Source organism: Homo sapiens, chromosome 14 (assembly GCF_000001405.40).
Source record: "Homo sapiens chromosome 14, GRCh38.p14 Primary Assembly".
NCBI classification, from domain to species: Eukaryota; Metazoa; Chordata; class Mammalia; order Primates; family Hominidae; genus Homo; species Homo sapiens.
This window is the reverse complement of record NC_000014.9, coordinates 71,432,751-71,458,388: the sequence shown is the minus strand read 5'-3', so window position 1 is coordinate 71,458,388 and position 25,638 is coordinate 71,432,751. Positions and strand designations below refer to the sequence as shown.

At 37.7% G+C, this 25,638-nt stretch overlaps 1 protein-coding gene and 1 pseudogene across 54 annotated transcripts in view; both read right to left on the bottom strand.

Moving 5' to 3' along the window:
• The window catches only part of SIPA1L1 (signal induced proliferation associated 1 like 1), a 420,734-nt gene that overhangs the window by 282,821 nt on the left and 112,275 nt on the right, over nt 1–25,638 (bottom strand). Inside the window, exon 1 of one of the 54 annotated variants that reach the window (NM_001284247.3) lies at nt 19,032–19,450. The exons of the other annotated variants lie outside the window; for them this stretch is intronic. The gene's annotated coding sequence lies outside the window, so the exon portion shown is untranslated. Of the gene's footprint in view, nt 1–19,031; nt 19,451–25,638 lie in introns of those variants that run through there. 54 annotated transcript variants of the gene reach the window in all.
• On the bottom strand, nt 9,431–9,700 carry RN7SL683P (RNA, 7SL, cytoplasmic 683, pseudogene; annotated as a pseudogene).

Genomic DNA, 25,638 nt, shown 5'->3' with positions numbered 1-25,638 from the left:
ACCTAATGTATAATCTTCACCCCAATCACTGCTCAAAAGGTTCTAAAATTCTAAATCAAATATACTATTACATACAATGTCTAGAGTGCCAAAATCTCAGAGTGCCAAAATCCTCATTTATAAAATTGAAGTAATATGTCTCTTAAAGAGCTGTCAATAATAAAGTAAGCAAAAAAATTAATTCAAATTGGATCAGACACTTGAACTCAAGGCCAAAACCATGAAGCTTGCAAAAGAAAACAAAGAAAAATGTTTTCAGGACTAAGGGGTAGGTAACACTTCCTAAGACACAAAAAGTAATAACCAGAAAAGAAAAAAAAATCAATTAGATCTCATCATATTTAAAACTTTGTATCTTCAAATGATATTGTTTAAAAAAAGACTCAATAGGCAAGCCACAAACTGGGGGGAAAAGGTTACAAAATGTAAATCCAAAAAAAGAACTGGAATCTAGGACATATAAGGAACTCCTACAACTTAATGTTCATTGCAGGCCGGGCATGGTGGCTCACACCTGTAATCCCAGCACTTTGGGAGGCTGAGGCAGGCAGACCACCTGAGGTCAGGAGTTCGAGACCAGCCTGAGCAACATGGTGAAACCCCCATCTCTACTAAAAATACAAAAAATTAGTTGGGTGTGGTGGCATGCACCTGTAATCCCAGCTACTTAGGAGGCTAAGGCAGGAGAATTGATTGAACCTGGGAGGCGGAGGTTGCAGTGAGCTGAGATCACACCACTGCACTCTAGCTGTGCATGATAAAAGCGAAATTCCGTCTAAAAAAAAAAATGTCGGCTGGGCATGGTAACTCACGCCTGCAATCCCAGCACTTTGGGAGGCCAAGGCAGGCAGATCACAAGGTCAGGAGTTCAAGACCAGCTTGGCCAATATAGTGAAACCCCATCTCTACTGAAAATACAAAAATTAGCTAGGAGTGGTGACATGTGCCTGTAGCCACAGCTACTCAGGAAGCTGAGGCAGAAGAACCGTTTGAACCGGGAGGCGGAGGTTGCAGTGAGCCGATATCATGCCACTGCACTCCAGCCTGGGCAAAAGAGCGAGACTCCATCTCAAAAAAAAAAAAAAAATGTTCATTGCAGTTTGTTTACCATATAGCCTGTTTGGAGAGAATAGGTCAACAGAAAAGCAGATGCTGACAATTTCTCTTTTACAAGGAATGGAAGAATGGAGGGTTGCTAGCTAGACAAGGAGAGCAGAAGACTATTTGAAGAAGGCAGGAAATAAAAGTCAGATGGATGCTAGGGCAGTTTGAAGTATTAAAAAATATATTCTACACAGTGTCAGTAAGTCTCCATTTAAAAGATATTTACTGTAATCCCAGCACTTTGGGAGGCCAAGGCAGTAGGATTGCTTGAGGCTAGGTGTTTGAGACCAGCCTGAGCAATGTAGCAAGGCCTTGTCCTCAATTTTAAAAATAAATAAATAAGAGAAATTTGGATTTCAGATGGCAATACTGATGTCCTATTAAGTTGGTTTCAAAAAACTTCTGCACAAACTTAATGCTGGAAGCAATAATTCTTATTTAGATTTATTCAATTCTCCAGATCAAGAAACACAAAAGGTTGTTTGGAAGAAAAATATATTTTATTTTAAAAACTGGATTCGTCCACCAGGAAAAATGAGTGAGTAAAGACTGAAAAATTAAAAACTTAAAAATGTAAAAGCTTTTTAGAACTGGATTAATATATAACACACTTTAGACATTCTGTTTTGTCTGAAAATAAACTTTAACTCTTCTGTAATAATAAGCCAACACTATAAGGATGCAAACAAAGTAATATAGAGTTGCCAATAATTATTAATGTTTTTTGGCTGTAATTCCTGGGCTATTTTATATAATTGTACATTTGGTTCTGCCTAGACATGCTATTCAGCTGGATTCATAAAACATACCACACTACCACACAAGTGCTGGCAGACCAATGTATAATAAACAGTTATCCACTGTAATATTTTAGTACATAAAATTGATAGGGTTGTATTTTTAATATAAGATGTTGAATACTTGTATCAATAAGAATTTCTTACATTTATTGCAAGCTTTTCAAACACAAATCTAAGCATATCATGAATGATGGATCAGTTAATGCGTGTCTGTTCTCTCTCATCTGATTTGCTCGTCTCTTTGCTTTTTTACCGTGGCTGCTTTTGTGCTATCCATGTACTATGCTCTTGCAGTTATACCACACAACAACTTGAGATGTTGTTTTACACATATTAGTAAAAGAAATATCTCAACACCAGGGTTCTGTCTCAGAGGATTGTTAAAAACTGTTTAGACCAAATTGCCAATTAAAAAATGATATTGCATGTGAAATAAAATAATTTACGTTTTTCCCTTTAGCTGTAAAAACAAAATCGCACACAATTTCTAAATACCATAAACACAATAGTAAATGAAAGAGTTTTGTCCAAACTAGTTAAGATGTCAAACCAACCAACAATAACCACCAAAAGTATATTAAACAAGTAATATATAAGTAAGAATACATCCTGCTACCGTAATATGTGAAGGGAAAGGCATCATAAATACTTGGAAAAAACAAGAAGGAACAATTTAACATAATGACTCAGGCATTGAAAGCAAACATATGTAGGTTCAAATCTCAGCTCAGGCCCTTACGAACTATGTGACCTTGTAGAAACCAATTTACCCTTATTAGTAACATGAGAACATCCACTGACATCTCACAGGATGATTTTAAAGATTAAATACTACATGCCAAAGTCTTTAGCAAAGTCCCACATATAAATTAAATTAAATAATAATGGTAAACATTATTATTATTGCTAACTTAAACTTCTTTCAATAAGCATTCGGAATTACCAAAAGACCATAACCTAAGATAATCAAATTTAATCATAAAAATCACACCAATTAAATCACACCAATTTCTAGTTTAGGAATTTTGTCTCGTGATCATATGGAACTCCAAAGAATTCTAAACTATAAACAAGCAATACAGACAGCGGGAATAAGCCATTCTTCCTCCTTTCTCCTAGTCCAAATAATTTAAGAAAAGGGATGAAAAAAAGCAAGAAAAACAATCATTTGGAATCAATCACTTCGCCATTCACTTGATCAAACAATGGCATACATTCAATCACAGCTAAAGATAAAACTAAACAATTTGCAAGTAAAGTTACAAAACTGCACACTCATTTCCTCTAACCTGTAAACCAACTTGTTACAGTTAACACTATAATGATTTTCTGAGACAGAATGCAACTATTCAAACAAGTATCTGTACATGATAAAAATATGAACTTAGTAAAAAGGCATGGCATTCTATCTCATTCAAATCTTCACTTGTACATTCACTCATGAAGGATCTAGCAGGTTCTGGCTCTGTGTCAGCCCCTGTCAAATATTAATAAGGCAATAAGGGTAATCCCTGCAGGAATACAGTATCCGTGAAAGTGTAAAGAACCTGTGACATCAGGTGTCCCGTCTCACTCAGCACATGATTCTGAACCTCCACAGTAAAAGGGCAGATAAAGGGAGTAACCGCAGTGACACCGGGTAGACAGAGCCAGAGCTTATAGGGCCCATCTCATGTGTGCTTTATCTGATCTTCATCTTGAAAGCTATGGTTTTATAATAAACAGCTTTTTGTTGTTTCTCCTTTTATTTATGGTACTCATTTGTTTAATCAGCATATTTGTTCAGTTGTAAGAAAATAAACTCTATACTGCCTTTGCACCCAATCAGGCACCAATTTCTAAGTGTCCATTTTCTAAGTGTCTATTCCATTCTTCGAAGATAGTTCCAAGACCACCTTCTCCAGAAAGCAGAAGCCTTCAATTAAAAAAATCACCTCTTTGCTGCTATGGTATTACATTTAATGATATTTGTACCTTTAATTAGATGCTTTAATTAAAATGTTTACTTAATATTAATATAAGAAAGTATAAATCAAGAACAACTCTCCATACAATTCCCTAATAGTCCTTTATCTGAGATTCAATAACTGCCAATCCACTTTTATATATTACTGGCGCCCAGGATAGCTAAAGAGTTGACAGAGAGTTGTTCAATTTAAACCAAAGGTTCTAAATACTATAGTTTTTCCGCAAGTAAAATCATAAGATCAGAGTTAGGACATTTCCATCTACCCTTTCTAATTATGTGACCTCCTTTAACCTTTTCCAGCCTCAATTGCCTTGTACATACAATGGGTATAACATGCCTATATCACAGTACTGTTAAGAATACAGTAAGAAAACATGGATGACAATGCCTGGCACCAGACCTGGGAACACAGGGTTTGTTCAGTCTCCATGTTATTTTAAGATGGCCAAGTGATGATCTATGAACTCTCTTTCTAGGATTTCTTTTTTCCTTTTTTTTTTTTTTTTTTTTTTTTTTTTTGAAACAATCTCGCCCTGTCACCCAGGCTGGAGGGGAGTGCAGTCGCACGATCTCAGTTCACTGCAACTTTTGCCTCCCAGGTTCAAGCAATTCTCCTGCCTCAGCCTACCGAGTAGATGGGATTACACGAGTGAGCCACCATGCCCAGCTAATTTTAGTATTTTTAGTAGAGATAGGGTTGCACCATGTTAGCTAAGCTGGTCTTGAACTCCCGACCTCAGGTGATCCACTTGCCTCGGCCTCCCAAAGTGTTGGGATTACAGGCGTGAGCCACTGCACCCGGCCTCCTCCATCTAAGATTTCTAATGCAATACTTCAAGGATCTCTTACTTTCATTTCATGATCAAAGAAAATTTAGTATTAAAAACTAAGAACTATACTCCAGTATTATGATTCTTATACAAATATTTCATACAGCTATTAGACTCAGACTTAAGTCTCAAATGCACTTTCTACTTGCATTAAATTTACTTGTAATTTTCTATCCTAGAGTGAGATTCTTTTCAAAGTTACGATGCAGCCTGGGCAGCACAGTGAGAACCTGTCTCTACTAAAAATTTAAAAAATTAGCCAGGTATGGTGGCACACACCTGCAGTCCTAGCTATTTAGGAGGCTGAGGTGGGAGGACTGCTCGAGCCCGGGAGGTCAAGGCTGCAGTGAGCTGAGATCGTGCCACTGCACTACAGCCTGGCCAGCAGAGCAAGGTCCTTTCTCCAAAAACAAAACAAAAGAAACCCCAAAAAAGCTAAAACCAAAGTTACTATGAATAAAGAAGGGATGAGTCATTATTGGCATATTGTTCTGAAGACAATTACTGCACTAAAGCCAGAAAGCATTTCCTTTTAGATTTCTTAAGTTGAATTATTTAACAAACATTTTAATTAGCTACATTGTGAAACAGATAGATAACTTTAAATATTTCACAATTTCAAAAATTCACTAAACATGGAACAGAAAGTCATTAAATTGGATCATCAAGCAGCAAAATTTGGATGTTGTATCTATTAGTGATTACCATAAAATATGACACAGAAGGGTCTAGAGATTTGAAAAACTTGGTGTACAGTATATCCTGAACACCAGAGGAAAATAATAGTTTCTGTGAATATCGAAATAAAGTCAAACTAGCAGAGATCAGTTTAAAAACCTAAGATTTAAATAACATAAGATCTCCCCAGAGGGGAAGTTCTTGAGGTCAAAGCACTAGTCCTCTTTAGTCATCAGGGAGATGCAATCTGCACAACAACAAATACCACTTCATACCCACCAGAATGGCTAAAATCAAGACTAAAAATACAATGTGCTGATGAAGATGTGGAGCCACTGGAACTCTCACACACTGTGTGTGAGAGTGAATCAGTAAACTACTTTAGTAGAAGGCTTTGCTTTGCAGTGTCTACTAAATCTGAACAAATATTAATACATATCCTATAGCTTGGTAATCCCACTCCCAGGTATAGATGCCTAACAGAAATGTGCACATATGCCCAAAAAAGCAAAAACAAGTATAAAAATACTATAACAGTATTAATAGTAAAATGGTCAAAATCTGCAAAACAAAAACAGATGTTCAGTAGTAAATAAAGTGTAGTATATTCACATTATAGAATACTACACTAAAAAATTATCCTTCCTATATACGAAAATGTGTATACATTTCTCAAACATTACATTGAGTACAACCAAAGAGTACATATTATATTATTTCATTTTTATAAAGTTCAAAAGCAGGCAAAACAAAACTATGGTGACATAAGTCAGAACAGTGGTTACCTTTGGTAGTATAGGGGGTGGTTGGTACTGAAATGGGAGAGAACATGAGGGGGGGGTTTCCTGTAATGGTGGTGGTATCCTGATTTTTAATTGTGATGCTGGTTATACACTTGTGTTAAGTTTGTGAAAACTTATCAAAGGTGAAAACGTAGGATCTATCTGCTTTTCTATATGCACGTTAAGCTTTTTAACTTATAAGCAAGTAAGTCAAGGTATTTATATATTTTATATAAGCAAAAATATACATATTTGGAAGACCAGAGTGGTGTTTTGTTCACGAAATTGTTTTTGATGTATATAATTCCATGCATTTTTGTCTTATATAATGACCATTTTCCCTTCTCTCAAATATTTTAATTAACAAGTAAAAATTGTATGTGTTTATCATATACATGTTGTTTTGAATTGCGTACACACCAGGAAATGGCTAAATCGAGCTAATTAACATATATGTTACCTGACATACTTTTCATTTTTTTGTGGTGAGAACATTTAAAATCTACTCTCTTAGCAAGAATGTAGTACACAGTCATTAACTTTAGTCATCATGTTTTACAAGAGAATTTTTTCTTTTTTTTTTTTTTTTTTTTGAGACAAGGTCTCGCTGTTACCCAGGTTGGAGTGCAATGGTACAATCACAGCTCACTGCAGCCTCCACCTCCTGGGCTCAAGTGATCCTCCCACTTCAGTCCCCTGAGTAGCTGGGACTACAGGCATGCACCACTATGCCTGGGTAATTTTAAAATTTTTTTGTAGAGACAAGGTCTCACTATATGGCCCAGGCTGGTTTTGAACCCCAGGGCTCAAGTAGTCCTCCTGCCTCAGCCTCCCAAAGTGCTGGAATTACAAGCAGGTGCCTGGCCTGCAATATATTTCTTATCTACTAACTTATTAACTTATCTATTAATTTATTCTTCCTATCTAACTGAAAAATTTGTACCCTTTTTATCAAATATCCCCCTCCCTAAAACCCTCACTATCCCCCCTTCTCCCTGGTAGCTACATTCTACAATCTACTTCTGAGTTCAACTTTTTTATTTTGCATATGTAGGGGAGATCATGCAGTCTTTCTGTATCTGCTTATCTCACTAACATAAAGTCCTCCAGGTTCATCCATGTTATTGTAAATGAAAGCATTTCCTTCTTTTTTACGGCTATACAGTATTCCATTGTGTATATATACCATATTTTCTTTACCCACAGATCTGTTATTAGACACTTAGATTGATTCCATATCTTGGCTATCATGAATAATGCCACAATAAACATGGGAATTCTGATACTTCTTCAAACACTGATTTCAATTCCTTTGGATATATACCCAGCAGCGGAACTGCTGGATCACATGATAGTTCTATTTTTAATAATTTAAGGAACCTCCATATTGTTTTGCATAATGGCTATTCCAACTTACATTCCCACCAACAGTATGCAAGGGTTCCCTTTTCCCCCATCCTCTCAAAACACTTGCTATATTTTTTGTCTTTTTTTAATAACAGCCATTCTAACAGGTTTTAATAACAGCCATTCTAACAGGTTTTAATAACAGCCATTCTAACAGCCGTTCTAACAGGTAAATAACATTGCAGCTTTAATTTACATCTCTCTGATAATTTCTCAAATATTTTAGAATAAAACTTTTTATGGCTCCGAAGTTGAATGCAGTACTAGATAGAGCCATAAATTAAAAGTCTGTAATCTAGAAAAGTTTTCATCAACAATAGTCAAGATGTCTTTTTTATTCATTAACTAGCTGAACACTTAATGATATAGAAAGTTTGGCTACCCAGAATGACTCATTTCTGTGAAGTTTTGTTTAATGAACAGGTTTATTACAAAGATTTTAAATCCTTTTATATAAATGAGTACAGAGTCTTAGAGAACACACTATCGAGCTATAAACTGACACCTTAGGAAGTAAATTAAATCTACTGTATCAGTACAAGGGTGATGAGAAAATCAGTAAGCCCTCCAAATAGAAATATGACAGAATATAAATCTAAATATAAAGTTACATATATTTATTTCTGGTATATCTGTATATTAACACATAAACACACTATCAAGAATGTAAATAATCGTAATAGAAAAATTATATAAAGATATATTTAGCAGAAATATTACATATATCTCTGGGTTTAGGATTTGGGATAATTTTTATTTTTTAAGTTTTATTTTACTGTTTGCATTGTTAAAATGAACATATATCATTTTTAAGGTTAAAAAATAAGCTAAAAGATCTGAGAAAAAGACAGTTCCTGTTCAAAAAAATGAGTCAATGCGTGTTTTCTTCCTGATTCACAGAACAAATTAGTGGGAGAATTTTCTCAATTTTAAGACCTTTCTCCCAATGTTAGCCTTCTGGCATCTGCCAAAGTATACCTACAAGCAAATACCAACAAAGCTCATATAGCAGAACAAATAGAACAGTAGCAGAAAACTGGCACTAAAAGAATTCATAATAACATTAATAAATCATGCTTAACTGAGACAGTCCCCCCACCTCACCTCCAACCCTGAGCCAGCAGTTGTGATTTTATGTTACGTACATATAACTGTGTTCATTTTCTGCTAGTAAAATCGTTCTTCGTTCCTAAGATAGAATTAAGTATACCAGTATTTCCTGATTTTCTATTAAAATCACATAACTTCCAGGTGCTCCATTATCTGAACAAAAATAAGGACCTAGAGGCATCCCTGTCACCAGATGTGTAGCCTTGTGACTAATGTTAGCTGTATCTTAAAGACAAGAAAAGGGAAAAGGTGAATTCAGCTCTCTAGGAGCTCAGTAGTAAATTACTCACCAGGTAGAATTCTGCCCATTGTCTCAATTACTCTTCCCCAGACAACTTCATTTGTTCAGAGAAAAAAACAAAAGCCCAATCTGGTTTATTCTCCCAGCTAATCAAGCCATCCACACAAAGCTGAACTAAAACCATAACTAGAGTTTAAATTTCCTGATTCCTTCCTTGAAAGGTAGTCTTACTAATTAGGTAATTTACAACAGGGCCTTGGCAAACCAAAGAGGAAACCTGAAAAAGCAGCAGCCTTTTGCTGTCCCTCTGGCTTTAATCACCATGAAGGTCACCCAGTCCTGCCATCAACCAGCTCTCCTACTTTGGAGAAGCAGGCTGACTCAAAGAGCAAACACCTGTCTCTCATAGTAATGACTTTATTCTCCAGGCCTAACTTTATAAATGAGAAAACTAAGAGAGTAAACAGCTCTATTAACACTGTTGTCATTTTTTAAAACAATTCTTTTAAAGAGATGGGGTCCTGCTATGTTGCCCAGGCTGGAGTGTAGCAGCTATTCACAGGCACAATTCCACTACTGATCAGCACAGGAGTTTCCAACCTGGGCCAGTTGACCCCTCCCTTAGGCAATCTGGTGGTCCCCCACTCCCAGGAAATGCTGAACTTAGTAGGGACACTCAATTGGCATAGAGCACTACAGCTTATAACTCCTGGGTTTAAACAATCCTCCTGCCTCAGCCTCCTGAGTTGCTAGGACTACAGGCAGGTACAACACCCGGCTTACAATTAGACTTGAAATGCAGGCTGTTATGAAGAGTCTCTTGGCTACAGTTCAAGGGAAACATAACACATTAATGCAAAACATCTTCAGCTTTCCCCAATTCCACTTATTTCAGCCCATTTCAGAAATGTCTTCTTTATTCCAACTTGAAAATTCATGTTATACTTGTTATAAATGTCAAACGGTTTTCAGAATATAGAATTCCAGTGGCTAGAGTTAGATGCCTGGGAACACAACTAGCCCCATAAACCTTGGGCAAGTTGCTTAACCTCTCTGGGCCTCAGTTTCTTCAGCTCTAAAAAGAGGATAATACCTACTCCATAGGACTGAGGTGAAGGTCAATACATTAGAGCACTTAGGAAACTCTGTGGCACATGGCAACTGATTGATCAATAAAGGTCAGTTATTACTATAATCATTGGTGTGGATGATGTTATTGCTACCAGAAAGACAACCAAGAAAGCGATGGAAGCGTAGGAAAAAAAAGTGCAAAATAAAGGAAAGAGAACTAAGAGAAAGAAGAATGGCAGCTGCCATGTAATAGCCAAGGGGCATTAGACAAGTTCCTTCAGTTTCCTCATCTACAAAACGGAGATGACATCCACTTGCTCCATCACCCTCCTCACAGGACTGTTCTGGAAGCCACAAGAAAATATCTCTGGCCACAGAACAGAAAGCTAAATGTCTTGCATTGTCACTGACCAGAGGGGCTCAACAAACCTTGGAATACCATGAACTTTCACAATGAGCCATTAGTCAAATAACTATGCACATTAAATGAATATTCTGGATACCACTCTAACAAAAAAATCAATAGTAGGCCAGGCATGGTGGCTCACACCTGTAATCCTAGCATTTTGGGAGGCAGAGGCAGGCGGATTGCCAGAGCTCAGGAGTTCGAGACCAGCCTGAGCAACATGGTAAAATCCCGTCTCTACTAAAAAAATACAAAAAAAATTAGCCAGGTGTGGTGGCACACACCTGTAGTCCCAGCTACTTAGGAGCCTGAGGCACAAAAATCACTTAAGCACAGAAGACAGAGGCTGCAGTCAGCAGAGATCATGCCACTGCACTCCAGCCTGGGCAACAGAGTGAGACCCTGTCTCAAAAAAAAAAAAAAAAAAATCCACAGTACATGCTTTTAAAAAATCAGATTAAGTAAACCATAGTAAAGTATCCACTACCTAGTGACACCAAATAGCATCCCCATAATTTTGCACTGGCAGAATAATCAGAACTCTTAGGAAGCATCTGCCATCAATTTTAAAAGGCAACCCTAAAGTGAGCTGTGAAACCCAAGTACACCATAGCACCATAGGCTTGTTAGGGGTCCCACAGCAAATCCAGCTGAGTAGATCTAAACTGCCTCTTATTTAGGCTATGAACATTTGAATAAAGTTATTTTCAAGCTTTGTTCTTTATTATATCCTACAAATTTTCCTTTCACTACAATACTAACATAAAAGCTAACAGAGGATAAGCGTGGTGGCTCATGCCTGTAATGCCAACACTTTGGGAGGCTAAGGCAGGAGGATCACTTGCCCAGGAGTTCAAGACCAGCCTGGGCAACACAGTGAGACCCTATCTCTACCAAAAAAAAAAAATGTAATTAGCTGAGCATGGTGGTGCATGCCTGTAGTCCCAGCTACTCAGGGGGCCGAGATAGGAGAATCACTTGAGCCTGGGAGGTCAAGGTTGCAGTGAGCCATGATCATGCCACTGCACTCCAGCCTGGGAAACAAAGCAAGGGCCTGTCTCAAAAAAAAAAAAAAAAAAAAAAACAAAAAAAAAAACAGAGCCCATCTCTCTTTATTTGCAGGATCTACTTAACTCAATTGGAAATGTATTTTCAAATATGGTTTGTCAAGGAGAGATGAAGAAAAGGCAAGAGTTTCACCCCTTACTGTTTCAGAAGGAGAATTTGGGACTGCAACAGAAAAAGTCATTCAGACACTCTGACCTAATAATTCTTATCCTAGATAATTATCCTAAGAAAACAATCAAGCATTTATATAAAAATGCACACACACAAAAAAACACTGAAGACTGATTTGTAACAAGTGATTACACAAATATATAACAAGATGAAATAGTAAATTCTTTCTTTCTTTATATTTTTAGAGACAGTGTCTCGCTCTGTCGCCCAAGCTGAAGTGCAGTGGCATGATCATAACTCAGCTGCAGCCTGGAACTCCTGGGCTCAAGCGATCCTCCTGCCTCAGCCTCACAAAGAGCTGGGATTACAGGTGTGAGCCACCATATCCAGCCTCTAAAAATTATTTAAATAAGATAAAAAATTCAAAAGGTATGCTAAACATAAAAAGCAGAATACAAAACATACATACAATAGAATTCCAATTTTGTTTTAGAAAATACATATGCATAGAAAAAGAGTAAAAGAAATATAAGAAAAAAATATTAGAAACCCAAATGAGCATGGTTTCTTTTTTGATTCCTATTTTCTGAATTAGCTAAAATCAGCTTCTTTTACTTACTTAGTTGGCAAAAAACAATTCCTTTAAAATAAACAAAAAGTGTGAGCCAGGCATGGTGTCTCATGCCTGTAATCCCAATACTTTATGAGGCCAAAGTGGGAGGATCACTTTAGCCCAGAAGTCCAAGATCAGCCTGGGCAACACAGTGAGATTCCATCTTCTACAAAAATAACAAAATTAGTTGGGCATGGTGGCAAATGCCTGTAGACCCAGCTACTCAGGAGGCTGAGACGAAAGAGCACTCCAGCCCAAGGAGGTCATGGCTACAGTGAGCTATGACTGGGCCACTGCACTCCAACCTGAGCAACAGAGCAAGGCTCTGTCTCCATAAAAATAAAATAAATAAATAATAAAATAAACATAACAATGTGGTTTCAATTAACAATTCTGTTAAGTTACCTAATATCTAAATTACTTACTTTGGTACAACTACAATAACTGAAAGAGAAGATGTATTTTGCAAAAGTAGTAATTCGAGTAAGAAATATTTGTCATCCAAATGTTACAATCAACAAATGTTGGAAATATTTACACTGAGAGTGTTTTACATTTGAGAGATAATTGTGTAATATTAATATCAAATGCATGACTCCATATAGTACATATGCACTTAAGTGAACCACCAGTACAACCGATTTGAGAGAGATTATCCAGTCTCTCTTCCCATGCACATCTAAAAACTAAAATTAGTACAGACAAATTCTGCCAGGCTAAAATCAGACTTTGTTTCTAGATACAAGAATTAAAAAAAAAAACTTAGACTTTATTTTAAAATAAAATTCCCGAGAAAGAAACAGTGATCAGTGTAGCTAAACAAGATTAAATTTCAGCTCCAGCTGATAACTTCTCTCATCTTAAGACAAAAAAAGTGAATTCTGATTCTAATCCTACTCTCTCACCAAGGCCTCAGACAATTGAGAGTTCTCTACATATCAGGAAATATACAGGAGGTCACAATTTTGAAAGAACAAAGTTTTCCTTCTTTCTATGACATCAGAAGATTTTCAGCTTAATAAATGGATTTTTTCTTACGCCAGGATAAGTAGAAACTGTCAATGAAGCAATTAGATTGCATGTTGTCTTCCACTAACTATAATTATTTCATATGAACATGTTTTCTTTCTCCAAATAAAATGCTTCTAAAGTTCATATCACAAATATTTTATACTTAAATGTGGTATCTGTTAGCTTTTGCTCAGCCTAGAACCACCTGGAACCACCTGGTCCTGGGGTGGAGGTATCTTCCCATGTTTAGGAACTGTCTCTTCTAGGCACAGAACAAGCACTAGCTAGTAGCTCCCTATACAGGCTTTAGTGGCAAAGAGCACTTCATCAGCTTCTTTATAACATTCCAAAGCTGAGAGTATCCTTTGTGACTCCTTCACATAATACAAAAACTCCAACTCAACAGTATGCAGGTAGAAAGTCTAAAGGGTCCAACTATGTTCTCTCAGTGCCAATAAGAGGGAGCAGCAGACACCTACCTGGGCCTGGCTCAAAAACACCTCATGACACCATTCTCCAGGGACCAAAGGGAAAGAGGTCAGTCTTGCTTTTCACAGTCACACTGAGAACACTTACTGTCTTTACAAAAAAGTAAACCACAACCAAGCTCCCAGGATGAGCAAAAGAAATGCCAATCTGGGAACTGTAGATAGGAAATGGTCTCAGGCATTGAAAAATTCGGTGGATATTCATTCCCTATTCTGAGAACCATGAATTAGGAGAGTCTGGGAACTTTTTACCTTCTTCTGAAGTTGCTCTGATTTCAAAACGCTATCCTATAACCCCCCAAAAAAGTACTGAATGGAATACTTTTATTTTTTGAGAGTGAATGCTAATTTGATTGAGAATTTTATAGTGTTCTCATTGAAGTAAATGAAATCATTCTTTGTGTTCACAGAGAGGTGGGAAGGGCTGTAGCTCCGTGCTATTTGTAAACGCTCTGAGCACCTAAGAGGCAACAATCGGTATTACTTTCGAGAACGTGAATTGGCTAATGTACTTGCTAGGTATATGCAGAAACTAGACTTCAGGGTAACTGAACATAAGACATGGAACATCCTAACACCGCTGACATCTAACCTTCACAAATGTTTTTGTTCTGCTTTGCTTTAGTGGCTGTGATAGGATTGCCTGGACAGAAACTAATAAATGAAGAAAAACAAGATTGTCTGGACTTCACATACTATTTATCTCCTATGGGTCCAAGATACAACATGTGTGACTCTAGGCTCTTCTCCCTTCTACCTAGGCAGGTGCCAAGGAATGTACTCCACAGACCTGTGGAGAGGGGGATTCCTATGCAAGTTATTTGCAGCAAGAGGATGACAGTGGGTCCCCAGTGGGGGACAGTGTGGCACCTCTGTAACAGAAGTTGTCCCTAGTGATTTCCTTTATTTCTCAGAAAAGTGTTGTTGCAACTATGGTTGCAGATATATGTGTATGCCATCTAATACTGTAAGTCTGGGTTTTAAAAGTCTAAATTCTACAGAGTAGAAATTATTCTGCTTAACCCGCTTAGCATAACACAAGCTCATTACCATCATGAAAAATAATTCCATCAAGGCAGAGATTATTAGGGAAGGGCTCCTGGAAGCACACTTGTTGGTTTTCCAAAGGTCTTATTGCATGTCATCTCAAGTACATTAAATACTGGCAACATCTCTGCTTCAACTTGATAAGTGGCTTCCATTTGAAAACCAATTTCATTTTATATTTATTCAAAAGCCCATAAAAAGGATTACAAGGAACTATAAATACAAACAAGCACAAAAAGATAAAATTCTTTATCAATGATTAAATATTACCAGTTTCCAGAATTCGTGTATTGATTAGCCCCAAAAATTACTTTTATAAAAAATATGATCAGCAACAGACAAGTACCTAGAATATCACTAAAGTCTTGTGTATGATGCAACAATTACCTCCTTCACACTAGATACTGGACTACAAAATTATAAAATGGAATTCTGAAAGGCTAAATATTTTCAGACAGAGTAACACTGAGATTTCTTACAGAATAAAAACCGAATCTCAGGACATTTTGAACACAGGCACTGTAAGCACAAAGTTTACCTCCCTAACTAATACTGTAAACTGGTTCCAACATGAATTATGTCCAGAGGTTTCTAAATGATATTCCAATAACCATCTCAATGTGCAACATGCCATACATTATCCTTAAGAAAATGTAAGACGTCACAAAAACATAGGCTCTTTTATGATTATCAAATCTTTTTGTTTGTTTGTTTTAAGAGACACAGTCTTGTTTTGTTACCCAGGCTGGAGTAGAATGGCATAATTATAGCTCACTGCAGCCTTGACCTCCTGGGCTCAAGTGATCTTCCCATCTCAGCCTCCCAAGTGGCTAGGACCACAGGCACATGCCATCACGCTTGGCTAATTTTTATTTTATTATTTTTTTTATAGAGACAAGGTCTCACTATGTTGCCCAGGCTGGTCTCAAAGTCCTAAGCTTACGCAATCCTCCCACCTCAGCCTCCCAAAGTGTGGGGATTACAGGCATGAGCCACCACACTTAGCCAATCATCAAATCTTTAAACAATCACTGTTTTCTCCTATTTTCCTATTTTGCCCTATCAGAAAAAACTTAATATTTATAGACAAAAGAAAAAAAGTACAACACAAAGAAAAAAATTTATAGACATTTCTCCATTTATTTCAACTTTCTCTTCATTAGATGTTAACAAAATAACATTTTTCATGTTAATTACTATAATTTAAAAAAATAAATTCCAAGTTGCCAGGGGAAAAATCTCATTACTCTTCCATGCTTTGGCAAACCTTCTTATGCTTCCATCTATACTCTGGGCTTTGAATCAAGTAAATGAAATCTTGGCTGGAAAAGACATACATTATTAAATAATTTAGGATACTGACCCTTTCTAATGCAAAAGGAAGAGAATGTCAATACTATATGTTCTGAATTTTTTTAATTAGCCCGCAAGATTTTACAGTTTAAGTTACTTCTTTTTTTTTTTTTTTTTTTTTTTTTTTGAGACAGAGTCTTGCTCTGTCATCCAGGCTGGAGTACAGTGACGCGATCTCAGCTCACTGCAACCCCAGCCTCCCAGGTTCAAGCCATTCCCCTGCCTCAGCCTCCTAAGTAGCTGGGACTACAGGTATGCACCACCATGCCTACCTAATTTTTTGTATTTTTAGTGAAGACGAGGTTTCACCCTGCTGACCAGGCTAGTCTCGAACTCCTGACCTCAGGTTATCTGCCTGCCTTGGCCTCCCAAAGTGCTGGGACTACAGGCAGGAGCCACCACACCTGGCCATACATTTTAAGTTACTCCTGATCTACATGGTTATTTTATTATCTAAAAAGGACTTTAAAGTGTTACTAACATTTTAAAGCAACATATCAAAAAAAGTTTTAATCTTTATCACTAACTAAAACCTACGGAACTAAGAGAAAGGAGTGTTAATCAAAAACTTAGCCAGTCTTTCCATCCACTATAGTAGTTACTGTATACGAACAATTACCCGAGATTTATCCAACGTTCATTCAACAAGCATTTATTTAGTACTTACATGTCCCAAGCACTATACTCTGCCATGGAGAGGCAATAATGAGCATGACAGACATGGTACCTGAATGCAGGAATCTTAGAGACTATGTCCCTCCATGCCACCACTTTAAGCTCAAAAGAAGCATAAAAGTATAACCCTTTCCAAATAGCAGTATGATGGCTATGTTTTTATAAATAATCTAGATGGCTAAAGGTTCAACCCAAGATCCTTTGGGAACTTCTGGGCAGCAATACAAGGACAGAGGCCACTAGGAAGCTGGCTCTTTTCTGGGACTATGGAAGCCAGCCTAGGGAAGGCCACACCAGATCCCATCTAAATATTTTGGCCAGCCTATGCTCCAAGGGAAAATCTCCCTCTGCAAGACTTTGGATCAGAAACAGATCCATAAATAACCTCCATCAGTGGCAGACTTAAGAGGCTGTGTATGTAAAATAAGTTGCAGAAATTCCATTATTCAAACAGACAACACCATGTTTCCAGTCACCTCAAAGCCATGAACTCACCAAGGTAACAAGATGCTGAAAATTTATACCATCAGAATTATAATCCATTAAACAAACAACTAGATTTAATGATCTTTCCCAAATAGTAAGTCTGAAATTTGTTTTTTTACACTGAATCTTAACTTTCCTTAGTGATATCTTTTAAAGAACTTAGAAACAATTTCAGTTTTATGCAAAGATACAGCTAAAGACAAAATTCAAGTTCAGTATGAAAAAAGAGGTATCACGCACCTTCACCTACCCCAAAACCATCAATGGTTTCTCAATACCTACATTAAAAGGGTAAAAATTCTTTGATTAGGCACTCCAAGTCCTAGACAAGTCAATTCCAACCTAAATTTTCAAATCCATTTCTCTGTACACCACTCCCCATATACACCACTCCAGGGAAACTGAACTATTCTTTCTTATCTGAATATACTCTTCACTTCAGATTTTTCTTTTTCTTTACTTTTCCTTTTTTTTTTTTTTTTTTTTTTTTTTGAGATGGGTTCTCACTGTCACCCAAGCTGAAGTGCAGTGGTGTGATCTCAGCTCACTGCAGCCTCGACCTCCCAGGCTCAAGCTATCCTCCCCGCTCAGCCTCCTGAGTAGCTGGGACTACAGGCACCCACCCATGGTCAGTTAGTTTTTGTATTTTTTGTAGACGGGGTAACACCATGTTGCCCAGACTGGTCACAAACTCCTAGACTCAAGTAGTCGGCCTGCCTCGGCTGCCCAAAATGCTGAGATTACAAGCATGAGCCACTGTACCTAGACATATTTTATTTTTTTAATCATCTTACTTATGCTACAAGTTTAGAAGCTTTAGGCAGTGGCTCATGCCTGTAATCCTAGCACTTTGGGAGGTGGAGACAGGCAGACTGCCTGAGCTCAGGAGTTCAAGACCAGCCTGGGCAACATGGTGAAACCCCATCTCTACTAAAATAGAAAAAAATCAGCCAGGAATGGTGATGCACGCCTGTAGTCCCAGCTACTCAGGAGACTGAGGCATGAAAATTGCTTCAACCTGGGAGGCAGAGGTTGCAGTAAGCTGAGATGGCGCCACTCCAGCTTAGGCAACACAGTAAGACTCTGTCTCAAAAAACAAACAAAAAATAAGTTCAGAAGCTTTAGGAGGGCAAGGCCTGTATATGACTGACCTCTTCTTCCAATCCTTTCCCTGTCCCTCTTCCCGTATAACAGGAATTAAATGAGTTAATAGGGAGTGGCTTCTAAAAATAAGTCAACCAAATCATGAGATTATTCAACATCTCATGGTTGTTCTGCCAAGTGATTCATCACCTCTAAGACCCAAAGTTAAAGTTTGAATAGATGTAGACACTTCTCTCACATCTGGGCAAGGAATTCAACAAAAATCTTTTAAATCAAAAGAAAACGTTTTACCTAAATAAGGTTTTCATTAGTGGTAAAATATTTAGAAACAACAGAAACAGTGAACTGAAACTAAAAATGTAGGGGAAAAAAGACTGTGCTACCAAATTTTATAATGTCCATGACACTTTAATATTCTTTTCTCCTCCAGCCAAATACTTTTCTTAGAAAGATAAATTAATGTTTTCCATTCCATACTCATGAGTAGTTATGAAAATAAAGTAGCATATACTATGGTAGAGGGTTTTAAGTTATTAATCAAATTAAAGTTGACTCATAAAATATATTTTGACCTTGATGCTTTCCAATGTGGGTATCACCCCATTAAAACATCTGTTTTCTATTTCCAACATTTCAGAATCATTAAATTTATGACAAACACAGAATGCTCCACCTACCTTTTCCTTGCAAGGGGTGGTGGCAGTGAAGAAGAGGGAGAGGAGTGGTAGTGAAGAAGACGGTAGTGAAGAAGAGAGAATTAAATACTGACTTTCCCCCTCCTGTCTGCAGCACATTTCTTAACAGTATAAAAAGAGGCTTGGGTTTAATTTTGAGTTCAATGAAGCCTGAGAAGCCAGTTGCTGAAACAGAAATTCATCTGAGAAACTAGCCATCCTTTGTGTTGCCCTCCTCTCCATGAGGTCTTCCTGGGTTAGAGTGATGACAGCTCAACTCCTCCTCAGGGTACCACAGGTGAGCTCTTGGAAAGGCTCTCTTCAGCTAAAACCACATTAGTTAAATCAAATCAAAAAACAGTAAGCAGGAAAGCAGAGGGCAAAAAAAAAACCTGCTCTCCTAGTATTTCTGTATCAATTCCAAGTACTTTCCTTCTCTCACTGCCAGCAGCACCCATCAATTCCCATAGTAACCAGCCCACGGCTTTCCAACCAGCCCAAGAGGGAGGCAAGTAAGCTGCAGGCAGAAGCACATGAGAGCATGACCCAAAACCCAGGCACCAATCTAATAGTTACTTGGTGGCTTAAACATTCCAATTCTACCTCCTTACTTCCTTAATTCCCAGATTCCCGATGGCCCTCTCCTCTTCCCCTTCAACCTGATGTGGAGACAGGCAAGAGGATTTTTTTCTAGAATTCTGCACAAACAATTTTTCTGTTTTCTGGTGCAATTTTTGTTCATGTCTGTTTGGTACCAAAGCAACCGTGGTCCTTTTACCACATGCGCATAAATGTATACTGTTGAATCCTCTGGAATGAAAGTAAAGACTGCAAAGATATTGGGAGCGATATTTTGAGATCTGGGAATAAGGATGAAAAAGGAACGAAGAACAAAAGGTGCTGCTGATGTGGGTGGAGATGATCTTTGCTTTGAGAACAGGATTCATTATGTGGGCTGGTCAGGAGTGGGAACAAGAGCAGGAAGGCCACAGGGGATTGAGAGTACTTCTGTCCCCAACACACTCATCAAGGACGTGCAATCGGGGGCCAAGGCTCATTATGGTGATTTTCAACAGGGAAAGAGGGAATTATCGGAACTGGGGTGAAATGTGGGTGATGATTAAAGAAGTTTGAGAGAAAAAAAAGCATACCTAGCTGATTCTAACATCTAAAGAATTACTATGGTGACGAGTTTTGTTTTGTTTTGTTTTGTTTTGTTTAACTAAAAAGTAAGGTAGAGAATCAAATTAAAAGTGCACAGCATGGGCTATGAACCACTTCTAAAAGGTTTCACATCTTCTTTAACAGAATTTAATGGCTAAAATGTAAGGAGATAACAAGGGTGACAGAAGGTACTGAAAAAAACAGTATGTGAGTCACGGCCCATGTTTTCTTTAGGATAGATGCTGAGTAAACAACTAAAGAGTTACGGTACATGCCTGTGTATATTTTAAATTTCAATAGATACTTCCAAATTACTTCCTATTGAGGATCCCACAGTGGTATGGACAAGCTCTCTAAACTTTTACCTACTGTATGCATGATGCCTTGCTAATTACAGAATATATAATAATAAAGGCCCTAAAATATGATTCAGCATCACTAAAAGTAAAGGGAAAACAGAAATGTTTGTTGTGATAGAGGTAGTATGATGAGTAACTGCTCTCTGTAGTATCAGTAATGAAATGCTTGTACAATAAGCCAGGCGCGGTGTCTTACGCCTGGAATCCCAGCACTTTGGGAAGTCCAGGCGGGCAGATCACTTGAGGCTAGGAGTTCGAGACCAGCCTGGCCAACATGGTGAAACTACCAAAAATACAAAAATTTGCTAAGTGAAGTGAAACACACCTGTAATCCTAGCTACTTAAGTGGCTGAGGCACCCCGAAATACCTCGAACCACAGAGGCAGAGGTTGCAACAAGTCGAGATCATGCTACTGGACTCCAGCCTGGGTGACAGAACGAGACTCTGCCTCAAAGAAAAATAAATTTGTAAAATATATATGTAGTTTCTAAGAGACAGGGTCTCACTATCGCCCAGGCTGGTTTTGAACTCCTGGGCTCAAGCAATCCTCCTGCCTCGGCCTCCAAAAGTGCTAAGATTACAGGCATGAGCCGCCCCTACCACTCCCAGCAAATTTTGTAAAATCAACTTTTTTTTAAAAGCAGATGAGAAATATTTGAGCTACACAAAACAAATTCTTAGAGGATCAATGCTTTAAAAATTTTAAATTAATAAGTAAATTTAACGCAATCCCAATAAGATTATCAGGATATTCTTTTAGAAATTCAAAAGCTGGCCGGGTGCAGCAGCTCATGCCTGTAATCCCAGCACTTTGGGAGGCCAAGGCAGGCAGATCACGAGATCAAGAGATTGAGACCACCCTGTCTAAGACGGTGAAACCCCGTCTCTACTAAAAATACAAAAAATTAGCCAGGCATGGTGGCACGCACCTGTAGTCCCAGCTACTCCAGAGACTGAGGCAGGAGAATCACTTGAACCCGGGCGATAGAGGTTGCAGTGAGCCGAGATCGTGCCACTGCACTCCAGCCTGGGTGACAGAGTGAGACTCTGTCTCAAAAAAAAAAAAAAAAAAAAAATTCAGAAGGTATGTCTGTAGTTTATATGGAAAATAAACAAGAACAATGAGGGCAATTATAAAAAAGAAGAGTAATAAGGGGGACCAGCTTTAATATTTGCCAGATAGTATAAAATATGTTATAAATATATAATAATTTAAAAGGTCTAAAACTGGTTCATGAACAAGCCATCAAATCAATGGATACAACAAACATTCTAAAAAGACTTCAGGAATTTGATAAGATAAAATGTGACATCAGTGTGGAAAAGATAAATTGTTCAATAAATGGTGCTGGCACAACTATACAGCCACATGGAAAAGAGGATGGGATACCAACTCACATTAAAATAAATCCCAAATTGATTTAAAGTCTTAAACATAAAACCCCACAAAGTATTAAAAGCAAGATATTTTTTCATAATCTTGAAGAGCCTAAGACCTAAGTAAGACATAAAATTCCAAAACCATGAAGTAGAATAGTAATAAACCTGATGATCCAAAAATAAATTCATATATAGCAAAAATTACCATAAACGACAAAATACAAACCCACTGGAAAAAACTAGCAGCCCCTATCACAAAGTGCTAATTTCCTTTTTATATAAAAACATTATTTCCATAGATAAATTGGCAGAGTCAATTCACAGAAAGGGAAATTGTTCTTAAGCACACGATAGTATGTTCAACCTCACTTATAACAAGAGAAATGCACAGAAAAATAGTGATAAAATTCCATTTTTTCACCTATGAAATTTGCAAAATTGAATTGTTAAATCACACGCTACCTGCAAGGGGGAGGTAAAACACATACATTGCTGAAGCCAACAGACACATGAAAAAATGCTCATCATCACTGGCCATCAGAGAAATGCAAATCAAAACCACAATGAGATACCATCTCACACCAGTTAGAATGGTGACCATTAAAAAGTTAGGCAACAACAGGTGCTGGAGAGGATGTGGAGAAATAGGAATACTTTCTCACTGTTGGTGGGACTGTAAACTAGTTCAACCATTGTGGAGGACAGCATGGCGATTCCTCAAGGATCTAGAACTAGAAATACCATTTGACCCAGCCATCCCATTACTGGGTATATACCCAAAGGACTATAAATCATGTTGCTATAAAGACACATGCACACGTATGTTTATTGCGGCACTATCCACAATAGCAAAGACTTGGAACCCACCCAAATGTCCATCAATGATAGACTGGATTAAGAAAATGTGGCACATATACATCATGGAATACTATGCAGCCATAAAAAAGGATGAGTTCATGTCCTTTGTAGGGACATGGATGAAGCTGGAAACCATCATTCTCAGCAACCTATCACAAGGACAAAAAACCAAACACCGCATGTTCTCACTCATAGGTGGGAATTGAACAATGAGAACACTTGGACACAGGAAGGGGAACATCACACACCGGGGCCTGTCGTGGGGTGGGGGAAGGGAGGAGGGATAGCATTAGGAGATATACCTAATGTAAATGATGAATTAATGGGTGCAGCACACCAACATGGCGCATGTATATATATGTAACAAACCTGCATGTTGTGCACATGTACCCTAGAACTTAAAGTATAATTTAAAAAAAAAGAAAAAAGAAAAACACATACATTGCTGAGAGGAGTGTAAATGTATACAATGTTTAAGCAGGGCAGTTTAGCAATAAAGATACGAATATATTCTTCCACCCAAAAATGCCTCCATATAAACTGCATACTTGCAAGCTCAAGGATAGCCACTGTAGCACTGTTAATAATATCAAAAGATTGGAAACAACTTAAAGTCCATTATTAAGAGACTAGGTAAAAACTGGAATAAAACACAATGAAAGCATAGTACAGTATGCTACCATTTGTGTAAAAATAAATTTCTACGAAGCATACATATTGCTGGGCACAGTGGCTCATACCTGTAATCCCAGGACTTTGGGAGGCCAAGGTGGGAGGATCACTTGAACCCAGGAGTTTAAGACCAGCCTGGACAACATAGGGAGAGACTCTGACTTTACAAAAAAATAGTAAGTTAGTTGGGCATGGTGGTGCACACCTGTTGTCCCAGCTACTGAGGAGGCTGAGGTGGGAGGATCGCTTGAGCCCAGGAGTTCAAGGCCACAGTGAGCTATGATTGTCCCACCACACTCCAGCCTGGGCAACAAGGCAAGACCCTGTCTCAAACAAAACCAAACAAAAGAGCATACGTATAAATGAAATGTGGCATTTCTGGATTAGATCCTGGAAAACAAAAAGGACAGGAACAGAAAAACAGGTGAAATCTGAATAAAATTTATATAGTTTAGCTTCACTGTATTACCTTGGAATATTATTCCATGGACTTGTAACATCCATATGAAAACATAAAATTTAGCTTTTTAAAAATCTAATTACTTTGTGATTAAACTTACTTCATCTGTGATACTCATATCCTTCTACATATTGCTAATAAGAAACATCAAGAGTATATGTATTTCTTCAACACTTTTAAAATATATCCATTACTGCACCTAAACATACAGGACATCTGTCTCATCTACTAGATTTCAGGTCCTTAACAGTAGAGGCTGTCAAACTCATCTCTGTACTCAAAGAATCTGACAAATATTTACCACACAGAAAGAGTTCAACAAATGAAAGCCAAAATTAATAGGTTCTGGTCCAGTGATCCAATTTTTAATTAGTGAGAAATTTTGTATTCCAAATGTCTCAACAATTCTAAGGGTTTCCTTTGATCATTAGTCACAATCACATGGAAGAGAAAAGCAAAGGACAAAGAGAAGTGAAGTAATTCTCACTAAGGATTTAAGTGGGAAAATAGAGAGGCATTTTAAATATACTACCTTCCAACTTTCTAGACATTTTGCTCTGTGCTAGGGGCTGTAGAGAATATAAAGATAGATAAGATATAATCCTTACAATAAAGGTTGGGCATAATTCATTTAAAGTCAACATTTGAAAAGGTGAAACTATGAAATTGCCTTGGATTTTCAAGAATGTTTTCCATGGAAGGTATTAAAATCCTTTTCAATGAAAAGTGCCTTATTTTGCAATGTAAGAATGTGATAAAACTCCGATTTTGACAAAGTTTTGGTCTTCAATGATCTTTTCTCAGGAAAAAAAAAACTCATGGACAGCATGCTTAAGAATGTCCAGACAAGCACTAGGTGCAGTGGCTTACGCCTGTAATCCCAGCACTTTGGGAGGCTGAGGTGGCAGGATCCCTTGAGCTCAAGAGTTTGAGACCAGCCGAGGTAACATGGTGAAGCCCCGTCGCTACAAAAAGTACAAAAATTAGTTGGGCGTGGTGGCGCACACCCATAGTCCCAGCTACTCAGGAAGCTGAGGTTGGAAGATTGCTTGAGCCCGAGAGGTTGAGGCCATGGTGAACTGTGATTGCACTACTGCACTCCAGTCCGGAAAAGAGAATGAGGCACTATCTCAAATAATAATAATATCCAGACAAGAGTCTACCTTCAAACTCCATTGATAATCTAATCTTGCAAATATCCAAAATCCAAAAGATAATTCAGGAAATAGAGACTCTGAGTTCCCTGAACGGGTAAAAAGAATACTGCTAAGTTTCTCCCAAAGCATTAAGAGTGCTCTCTAACTCCAGAAACTCAGAGTTCTAAGCCTTAGCTCTAACACTATACAGCAGAATAACCTTGTCAAACCACCTGATCTCTGTAAATATCCATTCTCACCTATAAACAGATAACAAATAAGGTTCTTTCCAGATATAAAACTCTATTATACCCCTTTCCATTCACACTCTAAGCAAAAGATCTTATAATCCTTTCATACAAACACACACCAACACATGCATTTGTGCATGTTCAGTGGAAGAGCTACCTGTAACATTTACTTCCTATTTCCATAGCAGCCCAGCCACAAAAACAAAATAGTATTTGATTACAAATCAGGGGCATATAAAAGCAGTTCGCAAATGAATGTGAAAAGGATTTATTCAGTACTATGAAATTAAATAAAAATGTGCATGTTGTACAATCAAACATTCATTTGA